This window comes from Homo sapiens, chromosome 2, assembly GCF_000001405.40.
Source record: "Homo sapiens chromosome 2, GRCh38.p14 Primary Assembly".
NCBI classification, from domain to species: domain Eukaryota; kingdom Metazoa; phylum Chordata; class Mammalia; order Primates; family Hominidae; genus Homo; species Homo sapiens.
The window spans coordinates 209,367,205-209,375,335 of record NC_000002.12 but is presented as its reverse complement, the minus strand read 5'-3'; the positions used below and the strand labels follow the sequence as shown (position 1 = coordinate 209,375,335).

The following is an 8,131-nucleotide window of genomic DNA, read 5'->3' as shown; positions in this document are numbered from 1 at the left end:
TTTTACACATCTACAGGTAGATGAAGAGAGAGAAAGAGAAGAGAGATAGTTACTTGTTTTTGGTAAACCTGCTGAAGTTTAGGAAGAGTTTGGGTCACACTTCCAATTGATGAGCACTGAAGTTTTTCTTTTATCATTTAGAAATATTTGGCTGTATGTTACAATGTCTGGTGGCTTTTTTTTTTTTTGTACTTTAAGTTCAGGGATATATGTGCAGAATGTGCAGATTTGTTACATAGGTATACACGTGCCATGGTGGTTTGCTGCAACCATCAACCCATCATCTACATTAGGTATTTCTCCTAATGCTACCCCTCCCCTAGTCCCCCACCCCCTGATAGACCCCAGTGTGTGATGTTCCCCTCCCTGTGTCCATTATGTTCTCATTGTTCAACTACCACTTATGAGTGGGAACATGTGGTGTTTGGTTTTCTGTACCTGTGTTACTTTGCTGAGAATGATGGTTTCCAGCTTCATCCATGTCCCTTCAAAGGACATGAACTCACATTTTTTATGGCTGCATAGTATTCCATGTGTATATGTGCCACATTTTCTTTAGGTAGTCTAACATTGCTGGGGATTTGGGTTGGTTCCAAGTCTTTGTCATTGTGAAGAGTGCTGCAATAAACATACGTGTGCAGGTGTCTTTATAGTAAGATAACTTATAATCCTTTGGGTAGATACCCAGTAATGAGATTGCTAGATCAAATGGTATTTCTGGTTCTAGACCCTTGAGGAATCGCCACACTGTCTTCACAATGGTTGAACTAATTTATACTCTCAGCAACAGTGTAAAAGCATTCCTATTTCTCTATATCCTTTCCAGCATCTGTTGTTTCCTGACTTTTTAATGATTGCCATTCTAATTGGCATGAGATGGTATCTCATTGTGGTTTTGATTTGCATTTTTCTAATGACCAGTGATGATGAACTTTTCTTCATATGTTTGTTGGCCACATAAATGTCTTCTTTTGAGAAGTGTCTGTTCATATCCTTCGCCCACTTTTTGGTGGGGTTGTTTGTTTTTCTCTTGTGAATTTGTTTAAGTTCCTTGTAGATTCTGGATGTTAGCCCTTTGTCAGATAGATAGATTGCAAAAATTTTCTCCCATTCTGTAGGTTGCCTGTTCACTCTGATGATAGTTTCTTTTGCTTTGCAGAAGCTCTTTAGTTTAATTAGATCCCATTTGTCAATTTTGGCTTTTGTTGCCATTGTTCTTGGTGTTTTAGTCATGAAATCTTTGCCCATGCCTATGTCCTGAATGGTATTGCCTAGGTTTTCTTCTAGGGTTTTTATGGTTTTAGGTCTTACGTTTAAGTCTTTAATCCATCTTTAATTAATTTTTGTATAAGGTATAAGGAAGGGATTCAGTTTCAGCTTTCTACATATGGCTAGCCGGTTTTCCCAACACCATTTATTAAATAGGGAATCCTTTCCCCATTGCTTGTTTTTGTCAGGTTTGTCAAAGACCAGATGGTTGTAGATGTGTGGCATTATTTCTGAGGCCTCTGTTCTGTTCCATTGGTCTATATGTCTGTTTTGGTAGCAGTACCATGCTGTTTTTGTTACTGTAGCTTTGTAGTACAGTTTGAAGTCAGGTAGCATGAAGCCTCCAGCTTTGTTCTTTTTGCTTAGGATTGTCTTGGCTATACAGGCTCTTTTTTGGTCCCATATGAAATTTAAATTAGTTTTTTCCAATTCTGTGAAGACAGTCAATGGTAGCTTGATGGGGATAGCATTGATTCTATAAATCACTTTGGGCAGTATGGCCATTTTGACGATATTGATTCTTCCTATCCATGAGCATGGAATGTCTTTCCATTTGTTTGTGTCCTCTTATTTCCTTGAACAGTGGTTTGTAGTCCTTGAAGAAGTTCTTCACATCCCTTGTAAGTGGTATTCCGAGGTATTTTATTCTCTTTGTAGCAATTGTGAATGGGAGTTCACTCATGATTTGGCTCTCTGTTTGTCTATTATTGGTGTATAGGAATGCTTGAGATTTTTGCACATTGATTTTGCATCCTGAGACTTTGCTGAAGTTACTTATCAGCTTAAGGAGATTTGAAGTTGAGACGGTGGGGTTTTCTAAATATACAATCATGTTATCTACAAACAGAGAAAATTTGACTTCCTCTCTTCCTGTATGAATACCCTTTATTTCTTTCTCTTGCCTGATTGCCCTGGCCAGAACTTCCAACACTACGTTGAATAGGAGTGGTGAGAGAGGACATCTTTGTCTTGTGTCAGTTTTCAAAGGGAATGCTTCCAGCTTTTGCCTACGCAGTATGATATTGGCTGTGGGTTTGTCATAAATAGCTTTTATTATTTTGAGATATGTTCCATCAATAGTTAGTTTATTGAGAGTTTTTAGCATGAAGGGTGTTGAATTTTATAGAAGGCCTTTTCTGCATCTATTGAGATAATCACGTGGTTTTTGTCATTGATTCTGTTTATGTGATGGATTATTTTTATTGATTTGCATATGTTGAAACAGCCTTGCATCCCAGAGATGAAGCCTACTTGATCGTGGTGGATAAGCTTTTTGATGTGCAGCTGGATTTGGTTTGCCAGTATTTTATTGAGGATTTTCACATCAATGATAATCAGGGATATTGGCCTAAATTTTTGTTGTTGTTGTTGTGTCTCTGCTGGTTTTGGTATCGGGATGATGCTGGCCTCATAAAATGAGTTAGGGAGGAGTTCCTCTTTTTCTATTGTTTGGAATAGTTTTAGGAGGAATAGTACCAGCTCCTCTTTGTACCTCTGGTAGAATTCGGCTGTGAATCCATCTGGTCCTGGGCTTTTTTTGATTGGTAGGCTTTTAAATACTGCCTCAATTTCAGAACTTGTTATTGGTCTATTCAGGGATTCGACTTCTTCCTGGTTTAGTCTTGGGAAGGTGTATGTGTCCAGGAATTTATCCATTTCTTCTTGACTTTATAGTTTATTTGCATAGAGGTGTTTATAGTATTCTCTGATGGTAGTTTGTATTTCTGTGGGATCAGTGGTGATATCCTGTTTATCATTTTTTATTGCGTCTATTTGATTCTTCTCTTTTTTCTTCTTTATTAGTCTGGCTAGTGATCTATTTTGTTAATCTTCAAAAGACCAGCTCCTGGATTCATTGATTTTTTTGAAGGATTTTTCATGTGTCTCTCTCCTTCAGTTCTGCTCTGATCTTAGTGATTTCTTGTCTTCTATTAGCTTTTGAATTTGTTTGCTCTTGCCTATCTGGTTCTTTTAATTATGATGTTAGGGAGTAGATTTTAGATCTTTCTCACTTTCTCCTGTGGGCATTTAGTGCTATACCTTTCCCTCTAAACACTGCTTTAGCTGTGTCCCAGATATTCTGATACATTGTGTCTTTGTTCTCATTGGTTTCAAAGAACTTGTTTATTTCTGCCTTAATTTCATTATTTACCTAGTAGTCATTCAGTAGCAGATTGTTCAGTTTCCAAGTAGTTGCGCGGTTTTGAGTGAGTTTCTTAGTCCTGAGTTCTAATTTGATTGCACTGTGGTCTGAGAGACTGTCTGTTATGATTTCTGTTCTTTTGCATTTGCTGAGGAGTGTTTTACTTCCAATTATGTGGTCAATTTTAGAATAAGTGCGATGTGGGAGCACTGAAGTTTTATGTCAACTCTTTTCAAGCCACAGTATATATCTTCTTGACTTCAGAATTAACTGTACATTAATCAGTTTTTCCTTGGTTCATGGTGACTTCTACATTTGCTGACTGTGAATTTTTGGTAATACAAATATAGGTGTATATACTTTAAATTTCTATAAGACTTTACAACCTTTAAAATTATTTAAAATACGTTTGAGATAAATCCCTGTTTTCTGACACTATCTGGACCAATGATGGGCTGGTTAGTTGAAAAAAGGATCATAAAAAGTCCTTTACATAGAAAACTTAAAAATGATGTATGCTTAATGTACTGCATTTTTATGTAAATTGATTATAAAAATCAGCATTAATTTCTAAATATTTTAATATTGTGCTAAGGCCTTTTTAAAAATTCTGAATGCCCTGCTTTTATTCCATCTTCTTGCCTAAACTTCATCTGAAATTCCTTATATATAACTTCCTCATTTAGTTTCTTTAAAGTAGAACAAGACTGTAAAGATACTTGTGGAGCCAATAAAGCACAAATTTCTTTTATATATTTTATGATCCCTCTCAATTTTTTAGTTTTCTCAAGATGACTGATTTGAAAATGAATTTAAATAGGTTCACATTTATGAAGTCTTTTCAAAGGATCCAGCTGAGTGTTCATAGAAACAACTCTTTTTTCTACATACCTATTTCCATAAATGTATATAATAATTAATTCAAATATATATTTACAATGCCAAGAGCCAGCACCATAATGTACTCATTAGTGGGCACCTGGTAAGCATGCAACTCAAGTGTTGGGAGCAGATTACCCAGGCTTCCTAGGGACCTACCATCATAGCATCAGTTGGTATATTCTGCAGAAAGACAGGAAGATACTGGTTATCTGATAATGCAGAGTTTCTTCTCTCATTACACATGAAAATAGTCTGTTAGGTAAACTTTGGGGAAGTACATTCTTTTGCCATCATAGTAAGTGGACATCCCCATTTATGCAGCTAACAATTGGATCTTTTGCAATTCAAGCCTGTATTCCTTGAGTTATGGTCCAGTTTCTCATTCACGAGTTTTTTTTTTTTTTTTTTTTGTTTTTTTTTTTTTTGAGATGGAGTCTTGCTCTGTCACCCAGGCTGGAGTGCAATGGCACAATCTCAGCTTACTGCAACCTCCACCTCCTGGGTTCAAGCGATTCTCCTGCCTCAGCCTCCCAAGTAGCTGGGACTACAGGCGCATGCCACCATACCCAGCTAATTTTTTTTTTTTTTTGTATTTTTAGTAGAGATAGGGTTTCACCATGTTAGCCAGGATGGTCATGATCCCCTGACCTCGTGATCCACCCACCTCGTCCTCCCAAAGTGCTGGGATTACAGGTGTGAGCCACCATGCCTAGCCAAATGTGTTTTTAAATACTTACCAGTGCCAGACATTGTGCATTGTTTGTGTTTCCATAACAATATGCCACTTTTCACTTTGCAGGTAATATTTTCTGTACAAATTAATTCAATATTGGCATCATTCTCACAGGTGTTGGAGCGTAGGCCTGGATAACTCCAAGACTCCCTCCCACTTGGTGTGTTATAGACTTATAAGTCTGAAAAGGTAGGCAATGGGGCAGATAAAGAATATCACAAGGGTAAAATAGAATATGTAGACATTAAATGTGAGGATTCTAATCATGTGTGTATAAGCAAAGGTGAGATAGATCTAAATCAAAGATCACTGCTGAGAGTACTTTGAGCTAATTATCATATGCCTAAACTCATTTTGCTCTCTCTTTTGAGTGAAAATCACCTCTACCCATGTCATCCTTTGGCAACCTCCAGCTTGACAGACATACTCTTACAACATCAAGAAAGACCATAAATCCTTTCATAGTAATGCATTCTGCCAGATAACTGCTTTTGGGCCATAAATCATATTGTACTTGTCATTATTGTATAGTTTTTATTACTAGTTAGATCATTTAAAATAAATTAGGTTCAAATGGTGATACTGAATTTTTATCATCTTCTTAATGTAGAAATGGATAAAGGAATACAATATGGAGATGCATCTTGCCCCAATTTTTAAACAAACAATAGGGCTGGTATGAGATGGTGTTAGATTATTCAGGGCTGCACTTGTTAAATGACTATGCCTTGAGGAGGAAGAAAAGAATCAGCAGCCTTCTCTGTTTGTGATACTTCTCAGCATGACTTCTTCCCTTCTTAAAACAGTTGGACAGGTCCATAGATTTTTGTTTTACTGTGTAGTTGCTTTGTCTTTACAACAGTCTAAGATAATTGATGTTTGTTTTTTAAAAAATAAAAGTTTACCATAATGGTCGCAATAACATGCCTGGAATACACAGCTATACTGTTTTCAATACCATGTTATACTCATAGTTGAGGCTAGAGAAACTGCAGAAATACATGCTTTAAATATGGGTCATTTCCCTGATTCAAGAAAGAAATGCATCAGCAATTTAAATGCAAGGAAAATGTTCCAGCTCCGACTTGTGATCAACGTGAAGCCATAGCTCTAGATCATGTGTCTGTGATGCCATTGTCCACAGGACCTGTAGTTTCAGTCCCAGTTGTTAGTTTCATTTCAATGCCGTGAGTCAATGAGCTGACGTGGCATCGCCTCAGTTGGCAGTTCTAAGAGGTGAGCATTCCTGACAAGGCTCCAATCAGATAAGGAGCAATATAACCAGCTAGTGATGCCAGGTCATCCTGAGAAGGAACAGAGAATGCTGCAGTGGTTAGAATTAAAACCACTTTATTATGATTAACAAGTAAAAATCATTTGTAACTTTGAAACTTCTTTTAGACACCAAAAAGAGAAAAAAAAACTTTACTATTAAATGCTTGCAAGGCAGTTTCAAATACATAAGAAGTCTTGTCAGGAAAAATAATGTTTTACATAATAGATTGAAATATTTCTTTTTTATAGGTATTCAAGATTCAGGTGCTGAATAGAGCTTTATTAAGTATTTTAAGCCATAGACCACTGAAGCATGGAAATACTGGTCCTAAGCAAAATTGCACAGGAGTAAAGCTTATATTTGGGCATTACTCTCTCTCTTTTTCTGCAGTCTTTTATTTGCACTTCTGTCTTGGTATGCAATAAATCACTGGTAGGGCAGGCTAGACCCGATGTCCAAACTCTTTACAGGCTGTGGTGCTAGTCCTCCTATGGAATGCTCCTTCAAAGGACGCATTGTCAAACAATTGATAGAGAGGGGAGTGATGATAATACTCAAGTTCTGTTTCCAGATTCTTTAAGAATGAGAACAATGCTGAAATTTGAAGAAAAGCAAGGCATTATAAATGCTGAACAAAAGCTCCTCATAGGTGTTAGAGGAGCCAAATTTGGATCTTGCTACTCAAAACGGCAATTAGACCTATCCTCACAGAACACACATGACAATAATAGCAAATACTAACATGAGCAGTCAGATACGGAGTCAGGTGATTTCATTTATTAGCTCATTTAATCTTTAAAAGCACTCATGATGTAGGTATTATTATTATCGCGCTTTGCAGATGGGGGAATTGAGATATGGAGTGGAAAAATATCTTGCCCAAGTTCAAATGACTGGTAACAGCTGGAGCTGGGATATAAATTCAGGCTAGAGCCTGAATTTAGCTCTGTTAAATTCAAATATGGCACAATGCACAATGCTCTTTAGGTTAAAAGACACCAAACATGTATTAAAATATTGAACATGCTGTGGCAGAGACTGTGAAATGCCTACCGGATACTCACTCAAACTTTCTTCCTTAGTATGACTTCTGATTTAATTTTGGGTTTTATAGTGCCTAGTTAAAAGACTGTATTTCCCAGCCACTCTTGGAGTTAGCGGAGAATAAAGAAATACTACCAGAATTTGTTAGGGAGGAAGTCTGAGATACCTTTCAGAGGGGTCGGGCAGAGAGTTGCCGTACATAGTTTCTGTCCATCACTGCTCCCTTTCTGCTTCCTTCCTGCATATAATAGCTGGATAACTCTAGCTGTTACCTGGGACCACAAAGAAGCCTTGAGGATATAAGTCATCTGCTAAGGGTAGGGAATCAGAAGGATAAGGCACTGGTTCCTTGATGACAAGTGGAGTCACCACTGCTACCATGGTTGTTTTACTTTAGCTTTTAAAATTAAATGCAGAGAAATGAAGTTCTGTCTTATTAAAGCTAGTTATTTATGGTTTCTTACTAGCAGCTGACATTAGTCATAAAGAATTAAGTTAAAAAATTTTATATTGAAGCACACAAAGGTTTTCAATGTGCTCTTAATGCTAACTACTGTGAGGAAGGTGGGAAGAGAGGTCATAAGAAATTATTATATATGATTCTGCTACTCAAGATGCACATGTTCTTGTGGTAGAGATAAAATAAACATACAAAACAAGATTGAATTCTTAATAGTGTTTTGTAAATTTGGTAGAATCTGAAAACTGAGAGAAGAGAGTGACTCATAATGGCTGAAATAGTTAGGTAATGCTTCCTGTAAATGGAGAGATGTGGACTGCATTT

General features: G+C 36.9%; 1 annotated feature.

Moving 5' to 3' along the window:
• Nucleotides 5,417-6,616: an enhancer, noted in NCBI's record as "MED14-independent group 3 enhancer chr2:210233444-210234643 (GRCh37/hg19 assembly coordinates)". NCBI's record gives its function as "activates an origin of replication core promoter dependent on BRD2, BRD4, P300/CBP and CDK7 cofactors, and independent of MED14, by STARR-seq in HCT116 cells {active_cell/tissue: HCT116}" and the evidence as "EXISTENCE:reporter gene assay evidence [ECO:0000049][PMID:35650434]".